This window comes from Homo sapiens, chromosome 6, assembly GCF_000001405.40.
Source record: "Homo sapiens chromosome 6, GRCh38.p14 Primary Assembly".
NCBI lineage: Eukaryota > Metazoa > Chordata > Mammalia > Primates > Hominidae > Homo > Homo sapiens.
The window spans coordinates 12,876,247-12,900,236 of record NC_000006.12 but is presented as its reverse complement, the minus strand read 5'-3'; the positions used below and the strand labels follow the sequence as shown (position 1 = coordinate 12,900,236).

At 42.9% G+C, this 23,990-nt stretch overlaps 1 protein-coding gene across 13 annotated transcripts in view, besides 1 other annotated feature; it reads right to left on the bottom strand.

The window, feature by feature from the left end:
* The window catches only part of PHACTR1 (phosphatase and actin regulator 1), a 571,071-nt gene that overhangs the window by 387,601 nt on the left and 159,480 nt on the right, over window positions 1–23,990 (bottom strand). The gene's annotated exons all lie outside the window — the stretch shown is intronic.
* Window positions 12,650–13,253: an enhancer, noted in NCBI's record as "OCT4-NANOG hESC enhancer chr6:12887216-12887819 (GRCh37/hg19 assembly coordinates)". NCBI's record gives its function as "activates a minimal SCP1, AML or CMV promoter by ChIP-STARR-seq in naive H9 embryonic stem cells {active_cell/tissue: H9 hESC(naive)}" and the evidence as "EXISTENCE:reporter gene assay evidence [ECO:0000049][PMID:30033119]".

Genomic DNA, 23,990 nt, shown 5'->3' with positions numbered 1-23,990 from the left:
GAGGGATTCAGACAAGTTAAAAATAATAAAGTAAAAAATCTTAAGTTCAAGCAATTTAAGAGGCCAATCTTTAAGAGGAAGAACAAGTGGTTTGAAGAAGTGAAGCAAGGAGACCAGAAGGCGATACAGTGGGGTGAGGTATGTCAGAGATAGGGTTGCCAGATAAAATATTTGTTAAATATTTGCTAAATCTGGCCAATGTGCTTCAGGGAGGGTCCACTAGACAGAGGAGGTCCCCTAGCTTGGTTTTCTGGCTGCCAGGGCAGGGGCCACTGGTGGTGTAAGGGGGCAAGCTGTGTCCCCAGTGATGATGGCCCTCTTGTGACCACCATGGAGCCCATCCCTCTCAGTGGGATGGACACAGGGAGGCACCACACATCACAGACCCGGGCGTGCAGTCTCCTGCGCAGTGAGCTCATGCCATGCTGGAAAAAAGCAGTTTCTTGATCAATCGTAATGTCATACACTTTCCTCAACAATTCCTTCTCATTTAGAAAGACAGAGTTGATCTGAATGTGAAACCACACTGCAGGGCTTATCCTAAGCATAAAGATGTCCTTTGGGAGTCTTTTCAACGCTTAAGCTATTCTCAGTCAACCCAGAAGAGGGTGCAGGCAAACACACAGTGACTCCAGTACCTGGAAATTGCAGCTTGCCTCTCTTGTCACTGACTGTTTTATTACTTTAGTGTCTGATTTTTATGAATACTTGCAAGTAACTACAAGGCACACCCTTTTAATTATAGTTTTATTCATTCACTCAGACAAATTAAAGGAACCCTATTAGCTGGGCTATTTTAACAGTTTATGACATACAGATATGTCTGAAAATTACATTAACAGGTAAAAGGCTGATATATCATCTTTCTCTGGGGGTGCTGTTATTACTTTAATGCCTTTAAAATGATTATTTCCATCACTATTCCCCATAACAACCCTGCATTAGGAAAGTAAAACCTTGCTGCAATGAATATTTCTTGATCCCTTACTGTATGTCAGGCATGTGATAGGTGTGGGCAAATCATGAATAAGATTTGGCCCCTCCTGTAAGGAAGGTACAGCCCTATTAAAGTGGGGAAACCACAGACAAGCAGCAATTTCAGTCCAATGTAAGAAGTGATGTGAGGGAAGCACGCACAGGTGCTCTGGGAGAATGCAGGGAGGCCACTGTCACAGATACTGGGGACCAAAGGAGGCTTTACCAGGGAAGCTGCATATGAGGAAGCATAGGCCAGAAGTGGAGTGGGGTAGCTTTGCTGGTGGAAGCACATTTCAGACAGGCCCAGGGGAACAGCATGTGCAAAGGGCAAGGGGTGAGATACAGCGAGGCAAGTTGAAGGAACTGCAAGTACTGGGAACAGGGCTGCAGTGCGGTGCAGGGGAGCTGATCAACACATAGAAGGGTGGAAGGCAAGCGGGTAGATTACAGAGAACCTCACAGAGCATAAGCTAAGGAATTTGCATTCTGACATCGATGGGGAAGTCCCGGCAACAAGGACAGATTGCGGCCGACAGAGAGAGAAAGAGTGTTCTGCCTGCAGCACGAGACTGGATCCGAAAGAATGGAAGCAATGAGTCCTGCCAGGAGCTGGCCAAGGTGGTCCCAGTGCGAGTCAATGTCAGTAGCCTGGATTAAAAGTAGCAGCGGCCAAGATAAAAGGAGGCAGATATGTCTGAGACATTTAGGAAGTCGATTTGACAGGAGTTGGCCATTTGGTCATGAAGGAGGATTGCCAGGTTTCTGGTTTGGCAAATAGGCTCTTGGCATTGCTGCTGATGGAGACAGGAACTATAGAAGTGGGCTGAGGGCGAGTGGAGGCTGAGTCGGGGACATGTTGGGGTTGTGGGGTCTGTTGGACACATGGTTTTAGGATTGAGGAGGGCAAGCTCGAATGAAGTGGAGCTTTGAGAGTCATCAGCTCCCGTCGGTATTTGGAGACGAAGGAGTGGACGGATCCCTTGGGCAGGGAAGCTTTCCAGAGAAGAGAAAATGGTAGAGGGCAGGACCGTGTGTAAACATAAGGTTTAGGAGAACAAAAGGAAGGAGAAGTGGCAAAAATGGACAGAGAGATAGGAAAAAGAGAAACCCTAAGAGAATGAGGTGGCCTGAGGTGAAATAAAATGAGTGATTCAAGGAGACAGTGGTCCACAGTGCTAAATGCTGCCCCGGAAGTTCAGTAGAATAAAGATATCAGTTCATGTCCTTTGCAGGCACATGGATGAAGCTGGAAACCATTATTCTCAGCAAACTAACACAAGAACAGAAAACCAAATACCACATGTTCTCACTTATAAATGGGAGTTGAACAATGAGAACACATGGACACAAGGAGGGGAACATCACGCACCAGGGCCTGTTGGAGGGTGAGGGAATAGGGGAGGGAGCACATTAGGAGAAATACCTAATGTAGGTGATAGGTTGATGAGTGCAGCAAACCACCATGGCACATGTATACCTATGTAACAAAACTGCATGTTCTGCACATGTACCCCAGAACTTAAAGTATAATAATAATAATAATAATAATAATAATAATAAAAGATTACAAAGTGCTTGTTGCATGTTAGAACAAATACACAATAAGTCATTTTGGCTGGAGAGGGCTTAGTGGAATGGGAGAGGCTACAGCCAAATTGAGGATATAAATAAAAGAGAGGAAGTGGACGCTATAAATTAGGCGAAGTCTGTGTGTGCCAGAGTAGGGGGAGTTAGGGTGATAGCCTATGGCAATAATGAGAGGATGCAGGATTGGTGGAGGCTTTATTTGTAGCATGGGAGAGACTGGGCATGTTTAATGTCAATGGAAAACACTAGTAGAAGCAGAGGGATGATAGAGGAGGTCCCCAAAAGAGGCAGGATGGGTGGAGTCTGTGGCCAGAGGGGTGGGATTGGCTTAAAGCGGGAGGATGAACCTCTTGCGCTGCAAGAATGAGTATTTTCTATGGGATTATTTGACTTAATGACATAGATACCGCTAAATCTCCTCCTCACATGGAGATGAAGTGAAAATAAGAGACAAGGTTATGACATATTTTCCATGTCCACTATGCAACAGAGGGACACAGAAGCCAAGGGTGGTGAGGAGTCTCATTATTATACAGTTTAATTACCTGTTGTTTTCAGAAATGGCCCCTTTAAAAAGGATGTGTGTGATCATCCCTGCTGGGGAAATTTTATTTTGGTCCAACATTTCCACGTCTGCCCTGGATCCAAGTGATGGATTTAGGTGGAACTCTTTGTGACAGTGAACTAACTGCTCAAGAAGGCATACTGGGAGCTTAAACTTCACTATCAACAAGGGATCAATAGAATTTCCAGCTACCTTACTTTGAATTCTACCCCTAGTACATTGGAGATAACTGACCTTTCCAGTTCTCTAGAGAGACCCACTGACCCTCCAAAAAAAATACAAGAAGGACACTTAAAAGGCAAGAAAGAACCACATGGATCAAAACCAATTGTGTGGGAAGAAATACATATAACGAACCGTCAATTCACTGTAGTTTTCTAAAGGAGACACTTTATTCCCTAAATAAGTATGTTTAGAACGGCTTTCAGCACTGGAGAATGTTTCTCTGCTGTTTACTTTGTTTACTTTTATTATTAACTAGAATCTCCCGGGGAACAGGGATCCCATCCAATGCCCTATGGTGTTTTCTGTCCCATGGCACTGTCTGGCATTTCAATCCCCTGTGAAGCACTTAATTGTACCTTAGGGTTGGGGTGGGCCTCCGTGATCCGGGCATGCTCAGTTCAGACGGGATAGCTCAGAAGTCTGATAAACATAAAATGAAAGCTGAGAGTAAGCAGGTGACGGGAATTGTCAAGGGAATATGTGGTCTATGTTTCTGAAGAATCTGTGAGAAGAAACACCCTAACAAATCTATCAAATGGTGCTAAATCAATTACAGCACGTGTATGCAGTTCCCAAGTTAATTTCTCCTGCCCTACAATTGAAGCCTATTCTGATACTCATGTTGAGTTACAAGGGTAATGCCTGCTCATGGGTTTACTGTATTACAACAGCAATGTGTAGTTTATGTCTTTACGTACACAAGGGCTATGCCTGACGTACATAAAGTCATTGTGGTATTGGCATGTTGTCTATTAGGCGTTTGCTCCATTTGCATTAATTCTGTTGTTAATTCCCTAAAGTAGGTTTGAAGGGTTCCAGTCAGCATTAGCATGCAGAACTTGCAGCACTGGATCTGAGAAGCTACAATATACATGGCATCATGTGTTTATCTTGAGCTGCACACACTCAGAGGGCTTCTTCACTAGGAAACAAGTACTATAATGAGGTCTCCTTGACATGATCCCTGTGGCTCATTCTATTTAAAGCAGAGTTTCTCAGTCCTGGCTGCACATTAGAGTTACCCAGGAGTTCTGGAAAATCCTTGTGGGTGAGACCTACCCAGACCAATGAAGGCAGAATCTCTGGGGGCATCCCTAGTTCTGAAATTCCCGCAGGCAATGCTAATTTGCAGCTAGGCTCGAGAATCAATACGTAGAGTTCTGATGAAGATGATGTCACTTTGGTTTCATTTTGTTGGATAAAAGGTGTGGAGTATGCAATCCTCCGTAGCAGAGCTTGTATTTTGTTTAGAAAGCAGTTACCACCATTGCTGCACCTGGTCTCATAATCACAAGGTTGACTGAGGGACCCCTTTACCATGTTACTATCTAGTAAAACTCATCAAATTCCACTACCTTTGCTTATTATAGTTTTGTTAACAGTAAAAATAGAAAGAATCAGCTGGGCATGGTGGCTCATGCCTGTAATCCCAGCACTTTGGGAGGCTGAGGCAGGTAGATCACCTGAGGTCAGGAGTTCGAGACCAGCCTGGCCAACATGGCAAAACCCCATCTCTACTAAAAATACAAAAAATTAGCCAGGTGTGGTGGCAGGCACCTGTAATCCCAGCTACTTGGGAAGCTGAGGCAGGAGAATCGCTGGAACCTGGGAGGCAGAGGCTGCAGTTTGCCGAGATCATGCCATTGCACTCCAGCCTGGGCAACAAGAGGGAAACTTCGTCTCAAAAAAAAAAAAAAAAAAAAAGAAAAAAGAAAGAGTCACAATATCAGACAAGAGTAGATTAGTTAAATATATACACAATATCCTAAGAGTAGAATATTATACAGATATTAAAAGCAATTCTGCAGGTTTGTTTATTTACATTCATTCATTCATTTAACAAGTATTTACAGAGAAACCCTGGTGTGCCAAACAGTGTTCTAGGCTCTAGGGATATAGTAGTGAACAAGAAAGAGATATTCACATGTTTTAAAGAGAAGGTTTAAAAATAGCATGCATATTATTTTATTACATATAAGCATAAAAATATGGAAGGATCTACATTAAAATATTAATCAAGATCTGTGTGATGAAATTAAAATGATTTTAATTTTTGCTTTTTTGGATATTTTTTTCTATGCTGGGCTTTTATTCCTCATGTAATTCTAGGTCTATAAAATAGACATTCGATTCCATTTCTCAGATGTCTTATAGCTCTAACAGAAACATGTTAAGTGACTTAACATGTAGCAGGACCTGTCTAACTCTACTATGTGGTTAGGGGTGACAGCATGGCTGGGCAGAAAAGTCAATGAGAAGTTTTTTTGTTTCTTTTTTCAGAAGGAGTCTTGCTCTGTCACCCAGGCTGGAGTGCAGTGGCGTGACCTCGGCTCACTGCTACATCCGCCTTGCCAGTTCAAACGATTCTCATGCCTCAGCCTCCCAAGTAGGTGGGATTATAGGCGTGTGCCACCACACCCGGCTAATTTTTGTGTTTTTAGTAGAGATGGGGTATTGCCATGTTGGCCAGGCTGGTCTCGAACTCCTGACCTCAAGTGATCTGCCTGCCTTTGACTCCCAAAGTGCTGAGATTATAGGCGTCAGCCACTGTGCCCCGCCCAAATGAAAAGTTTTGATGGCCTCTGGCAGCGACAAGCCTGGCTACTGAGGTTTAAAGTGTAGTGAAAAATAATTACATTAATTCTCCTAGGCTTTTTTCTTATTATTTGCTTTTGTCCACTTGCTTTTCTGTGTAAGTACTTGAGATATTAGAGTCTCAAAAAGTACTTGAATAGATGAGTTAATGATTTGCAAGGTGGTTGAACCTGTGCCCAATCATTCAACTGCAATATTGAAAGTAGCCACAAGATGGCGAGAACGCTTAAAAAGTAAAGAGACCAATAAAAATCCCACAGTCAGCCAGTGGGTGATGTGTTCCCTTGCAAATTGCCATTAACGTGAGCTCACTGACAGACATGTAATCATCAGCCTAAGGTGTCTTGTCTCCTTTGCCCCTGCTCAGCAGAGAGTGCAGCTGACATCAGTTACATAGAGGGGTTCCAGAATCTTCTCTCCCTGCAGCAACAGGGCTGCTTTGCTAAATATGGAAGCCCATGTGACACTTGACTTAGCAAAAGGCTTTAGACTTGCGTGAACTGCCTGTGTGGAGAGCTGCTTGTCCCTGAGGGAGAAGTAGCATCTGCAGTCATGCTGGAAGAAGAGAAAAGGAAACCATACTGTATATATATATAGTTTTTCTTGCCTTTGGTCAGTCTGAGGGCTGGAAAAGAGGGGCTGACAGAATGGTTGAAAGATAATAATAGTGTGATCAGTCTGCAGGCTTCAGAGGCTAGGGGTACAGCAGGTCCAAGGGAGGAGGAAGAAGGACCCCCCCAAAATACAAGTTGTAAAAAAATCATAAAGTATGTAATAATGAAGGATTCACAGGGTCATCTTGCATATATCTAAAACCTGTCCAGGGATTCGCTTTCCAGTTTATGAATGAAAGCAAGTGAACCTTAAAGCAGCATTTAAAAAAATTGTTGATGGATGAAGGCTTATTAGAAGATATAAATATAAAAATCTTGCTCTTGTTAACTTTCTTTTTTGGATTTCTGTGCCCCAGCCTCCCTCGCATTTGTGTGCCTGATGTGAAGTGCATACGCCCTGGAGCTGCACAGCTGTGTTTGGCTTCAGCTTTGTACGCATCTGTCTATGTGACCCTTTTGACCTCTTGGAGCCCTGGTTTTCATGCCTGTAAGATATGGCTTACAGGAAGAATCAGAGAGTCATGTTTGTAAAGTGTCTCACATGGCCCAGCACATAGTAGGGGTTCAAATAAAATGATTTTCCTTTCTTTCCAATCTCACCTTCAGCCACTTTACTTTCGAGTGTTGCCTGGACACTATATTGCCAAGACTGTGTGCTTTCTCTCTCTCTCTTCCTTCTCTGGAGGTCTCTATCTTCCTCTTTGTCCTGGAAATCCCACCATTACTTCAAGGTCTGGTCCAAGTAAAGGTGTTCCTCAGAGCCCCACTGCCCCAATGCCAAAGAGCACTCTGATGAAGTCTATTCTCCCTATCAATGATGATATCTCTTGTGGAACTTATGCTGCTTAATCAGAGATAATAGTTTCCATGTCTGCCATCCTCCTTTACTCCACATTGTGTGTTCCTGGAGCATGAGCTATGACAATGTCTTACATGTCTTCACATCTCTGAATAAATGGAAGAATGAACTTCAGTTGCACTGTTCTGTTCCTTTTTTTCCATGGGGGGAAAAAGATGTCTATAAATGTGTCTGAATCAGTAACTGCCAATGTTTTTGCTCTGCTTGACCATTAACTCAAGTTATAGTCAAAGAAAACAAAACATTTAGATAAGACCATATTATTATGTCAACAACCAAACTCGGTCCTTCGCTTGAAGATTTTGCAGTTGAGTCTGCAAAAACTCTAACTAGCTATAAATCCATATGGGAGCGTATGTTTCATCACTTCCCTCTGACAGACCCAGATGCAGCTCTGTATTAATTAAATCCAGGTCTGAAGAGCCACTATCCAAGCAAAAGAAGTTATGCATGTGTAGCTTATTACTTACATAAAGTGAAACCCTCCCTCACTAAATGCATTGTATGATAAATGAGCTGGACACTGTCCCAGGCCTTTCAGTTTTTACAAAGAGGATAATTTTCTTTAATGTCCTCCTTTGGCAAAGACTACGAATTTTGACAAGAAAATTCAAACTGAGTGAAACTGCTTGCTGTCTCATATCATTGGGTATCCCAAGACAAGAGGAGCTCAAAGCTTTTAGTAACATATTTGGAAAGGTTGAGAGTTCATGAGGAGCACAATATCACTAATGTATTAAATATGGATTTTTAGCATAAGCTAGTAGCTTCCTAGGGAATGCATGTCTCTTTAATGTAGAACCTTTACACTTTACTTGGGAATGATTGATGGAATTGCTAATAGCAGCCTTACAAGTATTATCTCATTCAATCATCCTCAGCACCCTCTATGGTGGCCCTATTATTATCCCTGTTTTACAGATAAGGAAACTGGAGCTTGGGCGTTTAAAAGACTTGCTGAGAGTTACACAGAATGTAGGTGAAATGAATTCAAGGCTGGTTTGATCTCAGAGTAAACTGTTACTATGTACAAAACCTTGTAAGGCTGTTAGTAAAAGTGACTTATTCTGGTTTGCTGTTCATAATGTAAACAAGGATAGGTTACATGTTCATAAAACACAGACTCTGAAAAATGCTACCACAGGGCACAAATACTCTAATGGAAGCACCAAACATTGTGGAACTTGGTCAGAGGAGGAGGGGGATCATAAAGGCTTTTTGACAGGAGCATAAGTGAGTTCATGAAAACCAGAAGTAACCTGGAGTAGCCATTGGTAAGGTTTATCCATCTTGAGGCTTTGAGTCACATAGCATCTTCAAACTTCATTTCTTTGTTTCCTCATGATAAAAATGCAAACATGTCTCAATCTAAGTAATGACAGCACCATATTTATAAGAAAGTCAGAACATTTAGGGAGGTCTCCTTTGTATGTTTGACTTCCAACTCACATTTGAATAACTCACGGAAAAGGGGCTGTCAGGGACAAGATATGGATTAAACTACATCATGTTACCCACTTTAGCATGTTAACATAATTTGTAAAAAAAAATGGTAGGAGTACTGACTAGCTTTTCACACTGATCACCCAAATGTTACATGATCATATTAAAAATGGTGATATTATCCCCCCAAGAAAAATTGATACTACTTTGCAAATTACTACCTCCTCAAACATGATGAATGAGAAAAAAAATTTAACTTTCATTTGAAATGCAAGTAAAATGATAAAGGAAGTAGCCTAGCAACCTACAAAAATCTTTTTTTACAAGTTTATATTTCAAGGAATGAAGATCAGGGCTCAGCTGGTCATTTAAGGAATGATTATTGAGCATTACTTTGTCCCAAGCATTATTATCAGCAACTGGGATACATGAGTGAACAAAATAGACAAAGGTATCTGGTCTCATCAAACTTACATCAGTGAGGGGAAGATAGATATTACACAGTAAATATAATAGGCAAATTATTAGGAAGGTTAAAAGGTAATATAGAGATACTGAAAAAAGAACAAGTAAAACAGAGTTGGAAGGACCAGAAGTGTGGTGGGGCAGTGTTCGTTTTTAAAAATGGTGATCCACATGTATATCCCTGAGAAGGGGAGATCTGAGTAAACACTTAAATGAAGTGAGGGATTTAACCAAGCAGATATCTGAAGGAAGATCACTCCAGGCAAAGGGAAACCGAACGCCTAGAGCAAAGGCCCTAAGAAGGGAATGTGTTTGATGTGTTTGTGTTCAGGAACAAGGTGGCCCATGAGGCTGGGTCAAGCGAGTCAGGGGTGGATGAAGGACAGAAATATGGGGAATCAGGACCCAGAACAGGTATGACCTGCACATAATGGGGGCGGGTTGGCTTTTCTCTGAGTGAAGTGGAAGCCATTTCAGGGTTTTGAAGAGAGGAGGCTCATAGTCCGCCTTGCAACTGAAAAGGCTCCCTCTGGCTGCAGTACTGGGGACTGCAGGGAATGAAAGCATAGTAGGAGGCCTGTTAGCACAGCGAGCCCCAACCTTTTTGGCACCAGGGTACCAGTTTCCTGGAAGACAATTTTTCCATGAACTTGGGGGCGAGGATGTTTTCGGCATGAAACTGCTCCACCTCAGATCATCAGGCATTAGTCAAATTCTCATAAGGAGAGTGCAACCTAGATCCCTCACGTGCGCAGTTCACAATAGGGTTCACGTTCCTATGAGAATCTAATGCTGCTGCTGATTTGGTAGGAGATGGAGCTCAGGCGGGAATGCTCACTAGCCCTCGCTCATCTCCTGCTGCCCCACCCACTTCCTAACAGGCCATGGCCCAGTACCAGTCCACGACCCGGGGGTTGGGGACCCCTGTGTTAGTGGACCATGGCAGAACACAGGTGATTTGAGGGTGCCCTGGACCAGGTAGTAGCAGTGAAGGTAAACTGCCAGGATGTGGTTTCCCAGGTGGGACTACATGTTTACAAGCCCCCAGATAGCTTGACTCCAATCTATCTCTGCCAGTTTGGGAGTCGTTTAAAAAAAAAAAAAAAAAGGAAGAAGGAGAAGGAGGAGGAGGAGAAGAAGAGGAAGAAGAAGAAGAAGAAGAAAGAAGAAAGAAGAAGAAAATTGAACCTTGGAGGATTTTTGCTCTAATCAAATTTCAAGTCCATCTTTCAGTTACATCATTTGTTAAATGAATCTATGAACATAAAAACTTGAAATGCATCAAAATGGCCAAAAAAATAACACTGAAACACTAGCTAAAGAAAGACTGGTTAGCTCATTGGTAGATCTTTCTTGCTGCCAAACTACTCCCAAATGTCACTGAAATTTGAGAGAAGGCCGACAAAATCATTTTAATTCCTTTCCAAGCCTATACATTCCCAAATAACATGTTTTCTTTACATTTGTAGTTCTCCCAGCACGCATTGATTAGGACATGTTGAATCATTCTATGTCTTTGAGACAGGCAGAGATAGAGGCTCATTCATCTTACTGAAGTAAACATTCACTTTCCTCTCTCACCCTTGTCTGTGGGAAGAGTGTACTCCATCCCACTGATTTTATTTGTGTGTTTTTGAGATTGGGTCTCGCTCTGTAGCCCCAGCTGGAGTGCAGTGGCATAAACACAGCTAATTGCAGCTTTGATCTCCTGGCTGAAACCATCCTCCTGCCTCAGCCTCCCACCTCAGCCTCCCAAGGCTCAAGCCACCATGCCTGGCTAATTATTTTGATTTTTTCTAGAGACAGGGTCTCATTATGTTGCCCAGACTGGTCTTGAACTCCTGAGTTCAAGTTATCCTTCCACCTTGGCCTCCCAAATTGCTAGGATTACAGGTGTGAGCCACCATGCCTGGCCTTACCCCATTGACTTTGACCTTGATCTTGTAACCTGCTTTGGGCAATGAAACATAATTGGGTATGACATACATTTCATCAAAGAAGAAAATTCCAAGAAGCATTGCACATTTCCATCACTTTTCTTATTCTTTCCCTCTCAGATACCTTTGGCAGCTGTTCTGAAATCAGAAGACCCATGGGACTGAGCCATAGGTGACCACCAAGCACACATATAACGTGAGAGAGAAATACATATTGCAAGTTACTGAGATTTTGGAGTTGTTTGTACTGCAGCAAAACTGACTAATATGAAGTCATTTTGGATGGGTGTGTTCTCTAGATAAGTGAATGGTTTCTTTCTTAGAGTGCAAAACATTTAAAAAAACACATATTTTATTTAGAAAATCTAAAAGTTGTTCCATTAATGGGCATTTAAAAGAGTTAAATAAAACTAATTTTCATGACTTGAGGTTTTAAAAAATTATGATTAATTATAAATGCTAACATAGGTATACTTTATTAAAATGTGGATTTCCATTCAAAACTTTTCTGTTAAATGATACATGTCTTAGTCTATTTGTGCTGCTATAACAAAATACCTGAAACTAGGTAATTTATAAAGAATATAAATATATTTCTCAGTGTTCTGGAGGCTGGGAAGTCCAAAATCAAGGCACCCACAGGTTTGGTGTCTGGTGAGGGCCCATTCCTAATAGATGGCACCAGCTAGGCATGCTCATGTCGTAGAAGGAGCAAAAGGGCAAAAGGGGATGAATGAACGCTGTATCCCCATGTGGCAAAAGAGCAAAAATGGCCTCAGCTGCTTCCTTCCAGCCCCATTCTAAGGCACTAATCCATTTATGGAAGCAGAGCCCTCATGACTTAATCACTTCCCCAAAGACCTCACCCAGCCATTTTTTTTTTTTTTTTTTTTTTTGAGATGGAGTCTCACTCTGTTGCCCAGGCTAGAGTGCAGTAGCTCAATCTTGGCTCACTGCAACTTCTGCTTCCTGGGTTCAAGCAATTCTCCTGCTTCAGCCTCCCGAGTAGCTGGGACTACAGGTGCCCATCACCATGCCCGGCTAATTTTTTTTTTGTATTTTAGTAGAGACAGGGTTTCATCATATTGCCCAGGCCGGTCTCGAACTCCTGAGCTCAGGCAATCCACCCGCCTTGGTCTCCCAAAGTGCTGGGATTACAGGTGTGAGACACCGTGCCTGGCCAATACTACTATGATAGAGATTAAGTTTCAACCCATAACTTTGGGGGACATTCAGACCATAACAATATGCTTCCTGAGATTAGAGATAGTGTTGTACCCATCTGTGTATCCTGAGCACCTAGAGTAATGCCTGGCACATAGTGGACTCTATAAATGTTTGTTGAAAGCATTTGGCAAATGAGGGCATGAGTAAGAAAACCACAAAGAGCGAATGTCATGCTCCATGTTGGGGGTTTCCAGCTTTTCTGACTGAGAAGGTGATGTTCCATGGATAGACGCTGCTAGATGATAAGGGTCAGTGACAGGATGGAGGAAAGAGGCTATGAGTGCTTAGCTTAGCCGGCAGGTTTTCAGTTCGCAAGTAAGATTTGGGGAAATGAAGAACAGGGGCATGTGAGCTGCATTCCATGCCTATAAGGACTCAGCAGAAAGCTGCAACGTATTAAGCCTGTTATAAGGTTAAGCCTCCCTTTACTGTCTTCAGGTGCCTGGCATTTTAGCATGAAAGTCCCTCCATTCTTCCTTTTGGTGCATGTTCAAAGGAGCAGAGGATTCCCCGAGGAGAAGAACAATTGGAGTGGAACCTGAGGAGCACAGGAAGGGGCCTTGATTCTCCCAAACTTGGGAGGGACTGGCTGAAGTAAAGTAAAAGGAGGCCCCTTGGTGCTGGCCAACTGAGTGGAACAGCACATGGCTGGCTGGGAAAGTCTCCAGCTCATTAAAAAGAAAAGGAGGAGGAGGGGGTGGAGGACAAGGGGAAGAGGAGGAAGAGGGGGAGGAGGAGCCATTTTATCACATTGGAGCTGCACGCTGCTGCTCTGAAACCGACCACCACCTTCTGTTGGGATCCCGTGCTTGGAATCAAACTTTTTTGCTTCATGATTCACACCTCCCATCCCTCTTGCTACTGTTTTTTGAAGTGACAGCAAAGGCATTTTTTTTTTTTGGAACTGCATTCCTTAAGATTCCACCTGCCACCTAATCATTAAGTCCCTGCAGAAAGGAAGTATCAGACACAAAAAACGAAAGAGCACTTCTCCCCTGTCTTCTCTCCTTTCAGCATCAGGTGTCTCCATGAGCTGTGAGTGGGTTTCCTTCGGAAGGTTCTCTGTTGGGTCCTGTGTTGTTGGGTTGTGGTGTTTCCTTTTCTTCCCCAACCATGCACTGATGTGGGAATAGCAGATGTGACATTTGAGAGTTCAAGTTCAGCGAATCCTTTGGGTGCATGTCCTTGGGGAACTTATCTAATCTCTCTACTTGTCTCAATTAACTCTTCTGTAAAATGGGCATAAAATATGACTCCAAAGAGTTATTTTGAACATTTAATATGAAAAAATATTAAAAGCGGTTAGTAGAAACAAGTGAGAATGTGTATAATAATAAAAAGTATGATGGAAATGCTTTTCTCTGATATGGGAATTGCTCTCATTGAGAGTGACCTTTTAACTTTTAAAAGTTTTCCTTCATTTTCAGGAAAGTGTAAGTCTGTGACCTTTGAATGTTTTTTCTTAAGTTGCCTTTTTTTTTTAACAATCAAACAACAACTTTAACATGAGGATTATATGCACTTGTGGTTTGCTTCATTCATAACAAGGCAACAATGAGCCAATATATTGAGATAAAGGTAGAGTCAGTTATGAAGCTTCCTTGGACAGGGTTTTTTGTTTTGTTTTCTGTTTTTGTTTGTTTTCTAGAGATGGAGTCTCACCCTGTCACCCACGCTGGAGTGGAATGGTGTGATCTCAGCTCACTGAAACCTCCGCCTCCTGGGTTCAAGCCATTCTCCTGCCTCAGCCTCCCGAGTAGCTGGGATTACAAGTGCCATCCACCAGGCCTGGCTAATTTTTGTATTTTTAGTAGAGACAGTGTTTCACCATGTTGGCCAGGCTGGTCTTGAACTCCTGACCTCAGGTGATACGCCCGCCTCGGCCTCCCAAAGTGCCAGGATTACAGGCGTGGGCCACTGTGTCCGGCCTCTTGGACAGGGTTTAAATGGACAATTGTGTTCCCAGATCTTATTCCGTGTGCCTGCCATCGCTAGCATCAGATGAGAACTGCCCCCTTGATTTCCACGTTTGTAAGGGTGTAAATAAAGAACAGTATTTTTTCTAGGAATAAAGCGACATGCAAGTGGCTGTGTCATTGTGAGGATACTTTCAAACTATAATCCTTCTGGTGAAATGGTTCATTAAACAAACCCTGTAAGGGGACGGCCAGAGAGACAGAAAGAAAATGCATCTTTGCTATTTCTAAAGCCAGATTGCAATTTCCAACTTCAAAGGGGGAAAAAATAGCCAAAGCCTCAAACATCCTCTATCCCTGCTTACTAGAAAACCAATTTTCCAGATAATAGGAATTCTTTGATCAAAGGCAGGCAGGCATTTCCCTTTAAGTGGGTCAAATGATAATTGCCTACAGGAAAACCCACGTTAATAAATTAATCAGTATTCTGACAGCCTGCAAGGGATGTGGACAGATGCTTGAGGACAGCCTTCCCCCAGAAGTTTTCTCAAACAGTACCAGATGCACATGGAAAGGCCACTCTGGAGCTGGATGAAAGCATTTCTTTATCATGGGGCGGTCTAGGTCCGACGCAAGGCAGTTCCACGGGACCTTCCCTGCATTCCGCAGGGATGTGTGGCAACCTCACTCTAGGCTGTAGGCAGAAGCAAGCATCAGTGGTGCCCTCAGCTCTGCACTGTCTCTGAGTGGGTTGAAGAGGGATGGTGTTAGCATTACTAGGCACAAAGAAGGCTTTCCACAAGGTAGATGGTCCTGTTCATCCTCTAGGACTCGACTCCAATAATTTAGCAGATTGCTAAATTATCGAGAAAACTCCACTGGTTCCTTTATCCAGCTCTCCTATTAAAGTAAGCCATCTTGTAAGTGTTTATTTATGATTAGTCTTTTTCAAAATTGGGTTACTAGAGAGCAAGGATTTGTGTGTGTGTATGTGTTTGTGTGTGTTTGTGAGTGTGTGTGTATAGTGTACACAGTACCAGGTATTCAGTGGTGTTTAATGAGTGAATGAATGAATGAATGATGCATTGATGCCTGCCATGATTTTGACGCATACAAAATTCCAAAGGCCGGGCGCGGTGGCTTACGCCTGTAACCCCACCCCTTTGGGAGGCTGAGGCGGGCGGACCATGAGGTCAGGAGATCGAGACCATCCTGGCTAACATGGTGAAACCCTGTCTCTACTAAAAATACAAAAAAATTAGCCGGGTGTGGTGGCAGGCGCCTGCGGTCCCAGCTACTTAGGAGGCTGAGGCAAGGGAGTGGCATGAACCCAGGAGGCGGAGCTTGCAGTGAGCCGAGATTGCACCGCTGCACTCCAACCTGGGCAACAGAGTGAGACTCCGTCTAAAAAAAAAAAAAAAAATTCAGTAAACCAATTATGTACTTGTCTGGACTGAACCATGATGCCCATCTCTGTGTGTATATGATCCCTTCAACCAAAGTTTGTGCTAAGTTACAAATGTACAGAGAGACATGAAAAATGAAATAAAAACCATAAATATTGACTGAGCATAGTAGTGGGACAGATATTGGGAAATAAAAATGTATGGGTCAGGTCCCTGCCCTTAAGTGCTTATGATACGCTGGAGAACATGTTTGTATGTATGTATATGTGTTTGCATAGGTATATGTATGCATGTGTGTATGTGGGTACATGTGTGTGGTTATGTGTGTATATTTGTGTATGTGTGTGTATGTGGGTACATGTGTGACTGTGTATATATGTATGCATGTGTGTATGTGGCTACATGTGTGTGGTTATGTGTGTATATTTGTGTATGTGTGTGTATGTGGGTACATGTGTGACTGTGTGTATATGTATGTGTATGTATGGGCATGTGTGTGTGTGTGCATGTGAGTGGGCAGATGAAGAAATACATATACTGGAATCTTATAAGACAATACCTAGTAAGGCCAAAGGACTGGTACTAGTGAAAAGAGAATTATGATATGTATGCAGGAGGAAAGGAAAAAGAGTAGGAGAAGATAAAGAACGGGATGTGAGCACTATCAAGATGCCAGTATCCTTCAGTCCCAGAGCCAGATCTTATCAACTTGTTCCAGCTCTCAGACCCGCAGGGAGAAGGAGAAAACAGGACCTGAGCCATCCCCAGACAGCACAGGACTCAGGACTCAGGACTCAGGACTCAGGTCTCAGGTCTCCTGGGGCCTGGAGTTGGGGTATTTCTTTTTCTCTTCTGTGTGGTTTTATTTTTTCAGACTTTCTACCTTTAAAAAAAAAAAAAAGCTTGGACGGGCACGGTGGCTCACACCTGTAATCCTAGCGCTTTGGGAGCCCAAGGAGGACAGATCACCTGGGGTCAGGAGTTCGAGACCTGCCTGGCATATATGGCAAAACCCTCTCTCTGCTACAAATACAAAAATTAGCTGGGCGTGGTGGCGGGCACCTATAATCCTAGGTACTTGGGAAGCTGAGGCAGGGAGAATTGCTTGAATCCAGGAGGTGGAGGTTGCAGTGAGCCGAGATGGCACCACTGCACTCCAGCCTGGGTGATAGAAAGAGACTCTGTCTCAAAAACAAACAAACAAAAAAAGCCTGACATTCTTGTTTTGATATACCTGAGAATGCTACAATCCAGCTGGCTCTCCCTCAGGCAGGGGCTGGGGTGGGGGGATCCTCTTGTCAAGCTCCCAACTCCATAACTCTGACTTATCTCAGCCTACCTGTGGGGACCATGCTGCTGGCAGCCTCTGATTACTTCCCCCAGGGCAGCAGCATCACTAGAATCATTAAACTTCCTGCTGGCCTAACACCTCCTCCAAACAGGTGCTTTTAAAGACCTTTGCAGGAAGGTGCTGGAGCCCCATTAATCACTTCTCCATGGGTGCACATAAAGCTGTCGTGTTATATCTGGGATAATAAAATCACTTTCAAGCATTACTACACCAGCTCACACTCATTTATAACATACTTCTAAGTGCTTTACAGAATATTATTTTTTCTATTGAACCCACACAACTACCTCACAAGGAGGGTAAGAAGCCAGGAAACCATCCAATTTTCCAGAGTAGACAGCCACCCTTCCAGAAGGGCGATAGGGTTTGCTCCAACCTGGGGGCTAGTCTCTATGGTGATGACAGTACTCATACATTGCTTTTCTTTTTTTGTTTTTACTTTTTAAAATTTTAACCATTTTCATCTCTCTGATTATTTTCACATTCTGCCTCAGATGCTCTTATTTTGCCCCTAAATTGATTTTAAACAGATGAAAACATTTCTTTCTACACTGCCAAGGCATTAGTTGGCATTCTTCTTCTTCTTTTTTTTGTATTTTTATATTTCTTTTCATAGGTTTGAAGCTGTGACTGCATGGTAATGAGATAAATTGCCACAAGTCATAAAAAGTCACTATGTGGATCTGGGAGTCAATTTCATGGATCTGCTCAATCCGCCTTCCCTCTTCTTGGGGGCAAAGTCCTCTTCTTATTATCATCGTCCCTATTTCTTAATCATCTCCAATCTCTCCCTTCTCAGGCCAAGTTCTCTCCAATCAAGCAGCCACTTTCATCTTCATTCCTCCTTCCTTAAGCTACTATCTTATTTTTCACCCTGTTTCCCATGCGAAGACTCCTAACAATGGGCAATAGGTGGGTAGTAGCACCTGCTTCCCTCCATCCCCCTGTCCCTCTCAGCCTCGGGTGCATCCTCACAGTGAACGAAGCCCCAGCCCCCAGTCAAATGCCCTGTTCTTATCGTTCATTGTCTTTAATTCTCCTGCAGCATTTGACCATGTTGAATTTGTCTTTAACACACCTTCTGCCTTGGTCTTCAGGACACTTCTGTACCCTGGTTCATTTCCCACCTCTCTGACTTCATTTTTACTCTTCCTTTATCCCAAACCTGCCTCCTGCATCGTGGAGATTTCCAAGGGGTTGGATCCTGACCTTTTGCCCTTCTTTCTCACTCTCTGCTGGCATGGGACATCATAGCTTTATTTATTCACGTATTCAAGTGTATGTCTATTTACTGAGTTTAATAGTGTTTAGTACCATTTACTTAGGACATCGCGAGTCCTACTGTGTTCCAGACACTTTTCTGGGCCCTAGAGATTCCGTGGGCAACAGGACCAAGCTCCTGTCTGCTTGCAGCTCACACTCTCCTGGGGGAAGAAGAGTGATGACGTTATGAAGTAAACAAATTGGGGTGATGAAATGGAGAGGGAAGAGGGTCTTAAGAGGTGACACTAGAGCTAATCCCTGAATGATAAGAAGAGCCAATCACGGGCATGTCTGGGGGAAGAGTATTCCAGGGAGTGGAGCAAGGAGGTATGTGACATCTACATAGATGACTCCAAACTCAGGACCACACATAGTGACATTTTAAAGAGCTCTTCTTATCTCCACTCGCCTCCTAGCTATCACCATTGTCCCTGCAGGTTCAGCGCCAAATGCAACCCTTCCACAAAAATCAGCTCACTCTATCTTAAATTCTCCACCTCTTCCATGAGTGCCAGTTAGGCTGGAAACTTGAGAGTCACTCAGCATACAGCATCGCCCTCTTCCTTAATATTCACCATGGCAACAAGAGCCCCCACTGTCCTTCCTTTTTTACATCTGCCGCCTTTCACGCAGCTCCCTGTTGTCAAGTTCTTCCCTACACAATTCAGCTCTTAGTCCACAGTCAGATAACTACCATTTGTTGCAAACTTACGCTATTCCTGGCACTGTGCTTCGTACTTTACACACCTTCGCCCAGACTACCTGTCAGGTACTCTTAATAGCTCCATTTTACAGATGAAGAAACTGAGGCTCAATATCCCCCTTAGATAATGACCTTCACTACGCCATTTCATTTCTTTTTTAAAAATCTACATGATAAAAGATCACATTTCACAGCCTGATAATCAAAAGCTCCAAATTTCCTTTTGAGCCACAGCTTGCCTGTTCCGCGAACATGAAACCTCTGACCCTGCCAATCAATGAATCAATTTGCTTTTACCTATTGTCTTTTCTCATGCTGACCTCCATACCTGGAGTGCTTTTCTTTTTTTTCTTTTCCTTTGTTCAAATCTTGCCTAATCTTTGCACTTCAATTCCACATTTGCTTAGGTTATAAAAACCCATATTATATATTTTGGGATCCATTCTGGGGCTCTTATTTATGCATAAATTTCCTTTATACGACTATGAACTCTTTGTGGGTACACCTGTATTACAGCACAGAATGATGGTTAAAAGTATGAATTCTAGGCCAGGTGCAGTGGCTCACACCTGTAATCCCAGCATTTTGGGATGCCAATGTGGACAGATCACTTGAGCTGAGAAGTTCCAGATGAGCCTGGGCAACGTGGCAAAACCTCTTCTCTACAAAAAATACAAGAATTAGCCAGGTAGTGTGTGCCTGTATCAAGTCTCTGACAGGGACACAAAGGTCCTGTAGTTCTAGCTACTCAGGAGGCTAGAAGTGGGAGGATCGTTTGAGCCAGGAAGGTCAAGGCTGCAGTAAGCTGAGATCACATCTCTGCACTCTAGCCTAAGTGACAGAGTGAGATCCTGTCAAAAAAAAAAAAAAAAGAAAAAAAAGTATGAGTTCTAGAGACAATCTGAGAGTATGAATCTCCAAATCTGTCCCTGAATTGGCATGCGATCTCTGGAGTTCCATTTCCTCATTTATGAAATAGACTTGGTGATCATAGTACCTACCTCAAAGGGTTGCTGTGAAGTTTAGGTGAATGCATGCACATAAGCATGTGGTGATCCTGGAGCATAATAAACACTCAATAGATGTTAGCTCTTTGCACCTCAAAATTCTGGGAATAATGTGGCCTTAATGAGTATCCTTTTACTAGTGATCTATTCAAATTATTAGATATGTGTATAACAGTGTCCTAGCTACTACAAGGATAGAGGAAAGTGCCCATACGAGAGTAGAATAATGGCCATTGTGGATCTGATTCATCCCTTGTTGTTTGTGGAAGAGGTGGGGTAGAGAAGTAAAGGTTATGAAGTCAAACTGTCTAGGTTCAAATCTTGACACTTCATTTCTGTGTTGCTGATTTTACCATCTGAAAAAAATGGGAATAATAATATTATCTGTTTCAGAGAGTTCTTGTTAAGGACCAAACAGGAAAATAAATGGAAAATACTTAATACTCAATATGTGTTGGCTATTGATATCATTACGAGTTAGTGTTGACCTAGCCCTGCATCAAGTCTCTGACAGGGACAAAAAGCTCCTGAGAAAAAGGTCACAAATCAGGTCTAAGAAAGCCAGAGAAAAAAAGAATAAGAAGACAAGACCTGCTACTTCTGGTGGCTCCTAGAAAATACTGGGTACCTGGGGAAGGTGAGTGTAAATGCAGAAAAAAAGCCAAGGGGTCTCCGAGGGTTCCCCAGTTGCCTGACCTACAAGGCTTCCCTACTTAGGGTGACATTTAAAAGAGTTGAGTGGTCTTGGGCAATGGTATTATTTTTTATTCCACGCTTGTTCTCAATTTCCACACTCAACTGGGCAAGACAGACCCATGTTCTCTTCAGAGAGATTACTCTTCTCTCAGGTCTATCCTTTCCCCGTCTGCACCACTGTCTCTCCCTTGGTTCACACTCAAGGTTCAAATTTCTTGCTCAGATGATTGTCATAGCCTCCTAAAATTTTCATCGCCTCCAGCAATAGCCTCTGCAATACACTCCACGGGAGCAAAACCAGCCTGCTTGAGAAACATGACTGTAAGCAAGAACTGTATTAAAATATTGAAACTGTGAGCCATCACACTACATCTCCAGACTATTAACAACCCCCAGTGCTCCACGTGCCTTTTCAATGCTGTTGATAAAAGCAGAGGCACAGGTGAAATTTTAAACGGGTGATGATTGCATGGAGTCATAAATTCCAAAGGAGTCCACTGAAAAGGGTGCACCTAAATCTGTCTCACGCCTCTTTATCTACCTCCTCCTGTTTTAGACAACAGTTTCAAAGTATAATATAAACACTTTCAGGACCCAAGGAAGTTTAAAGGGGGACAAGGCAACTTAGTGACACTGAGCTGCTCACTGGTGCTCTAAATATTTCAGAAGTGAAATATTCACTTTTCAGTATTTGTCAGAAGCCCACTAAAAAATCCCCAGAGCAACCACTATATTACCAGCCTGAGCTCCAACTTCATTTGTCAATTTTTGGCTCACCACTCAGCTCTTGGTAATAGAGAGCTTTATGTTTCTTCCAAAGTATCTGATATATGAGCTAGCTGGGGTTCCCCTGTAAGATGATAAGCTCCCTGAGAGCAAGGGCAAGGGCTTCAAGAGACTTACTTTCTTGTTCTGACTCTACAGTCACTTGGTTCTGTGACCTAAGAAATACTCAATTTCAATGTTGACATTTTTCTACCGTTAAAGTACAGGAGTTGAATTAGATGTGTGGCCCCAAGCTGGGGATTGTAAGCCCCTGGTGGGTAGCAGAGATTTTTTTCAAAAGTTCATCAAATCCATAGCAGCTTATTATATTCTCAATCCACAGATATTAAAAATAGCTATGATTTTGTGGGGACCATCAAATTGTATTTTTGAAATGGGTCCTTGTACTCATGGCAAAACATCAGCTAAGAGCCCCTGTAAGGTTCTTGGCTGCTCTAATGTTTATTCATTCCTTTGTTTAATACATATTCACCGAAGGCTTATCCTAATCAGGTACTTTGCTAAGTGCGCTGGAATCTGAGGTGGAAAAAGCATGATTTTGGCCTCAAAGAGCAATGAACACTTAGCTGACAACTGCAACCCAGCATGATATGACTGGGAAACACATATTGGAGCCTTTCTGAGCTTTTAAGTGAGTGTATCATTTGATCTTCCCCACTGTGAGAGGGGGACTCTGATCATCTTCATCTGAGGAAGAGTCAGCAGATGCCAGAGAGTCAAGAAGCCCAGGAGGGAGAAAATTCCATTAAACTCCAAAGCCTGAATTGTGGACACTGAGCCTAAATTGCTGTTATGAAGGTGAGCGCACAGTGCAGTTGAGAACTTATGTTGGAAGGAAGATCTTGGGGGAATTAGAGAAAGTGTCACAGCGTGGGGACATGAATCCTCTGATAAAGGAGGAGTAGCTTGCCAGATGGACAATCAAGAAGATCATCCAAGAAGAGGTGGGAGCAAACGCAGAGCCACACAAATGGGGAAGCCCGGGGCACACCTAGGGACCCTTCAGAGTTCTGTAGGCAAGGGCAGGATGATGGGGGTGGAACAGGCTCAGGAGCAAACAGACGGCTGTGATTGGGCACATTCCAGTTCTGTATGCTGGATGCTCCGGTATACAGTAGGTGGTCTCTATTCTCAATTGATTAGGGCTGGATGATGTGCATCCAGTTCACCGACATAGTGTTTAACAGTATTTTCTTCCAGGAGAGGCATTATCTCAAAAACTACTCTACTGTCACCCTGGATGGCCATCAAAGCCTTTGTTGATCATATACTGACCTTCAGAAGGCAATGGCTTCATATACCCTGAAGCACCCACATTACAGGTGTGACAATCACACAACAAGCATACATACAAGTCATTCTACTGCAACCCTTTCAGCGGTCACCCCAATGGCTTTGCTTTGTTGTGAACCTTATCATGAGGGTTAATTCTATGTGTCGTGTCAACTTGACTGGGCCACAGGGTGCTCAGAGTAAACACCGTTTCTACATGTGTCTGTGAGGGTGCATTGGGACGAGATTAGCATTTGAGTGGATTCTGTAATGTAGATTTCTTTCCTCAGCGTGGAAGAGTATCATCCAATCTGTTTGGGGCCTGAGAAGAACAAAAGGTGAAGGAAGGAGGAACTTGCATCCCCTCTTTATTTCCTGCACAACTGCTAGAAACATCTCATCTCATCTTCTCTTGATTTTGTACTGGGATTTATACCATCAGCACCTTTGGTTCTCAGGCCTTTAGGCTCAGACTGAATTACGCCACCAGCTTTCCTGTGTCTCCAGCTTACAGATGCAAATTATGGGACTTCTCAGCCTCCATATCCTATGAGCCAATTCCTCATAATAAACCTACCTATATCTAATCTATATCTATATCTATCCTACTGGTTCTGTTTCTCTGGAGAACTTTGACTAATATACTTACCTAAGGATGATGCAAGTTTAGGACTTTTTTTTGTTGATGTGTATTTTGGAATCAATGCTTCTTAGTCTGTGTACAGTCTTTTAAGTCAGACAATACAGATTAAATATCTGCATGCTTGGCCTTGCAGGAGAAGTCCTCCCTGAGAAGACAGTGATGTGTTTTTAATGCTCCAAAGGCAGGAGTAAGCTGAAGTTTAGAAGATCATTTTCTCATTAGAGCAGATTTCTAACTCTGCAGTTTACTAGCTGTGCGACCTTGGATAAGTCTCTTAACTGCTTCTTGTCTCAGCTTCTTTATCTGTAAACTGGGAATGATAATGATATTAACCTGAGTATTGTTACTTTTGTACATAATAGTCTGGTCATTGGATCATTATGAAGATTACATAATTAATATATATGCTTACATTTAGAACAGTCTCAGGCACATCGTAAGCAGGGTATAAA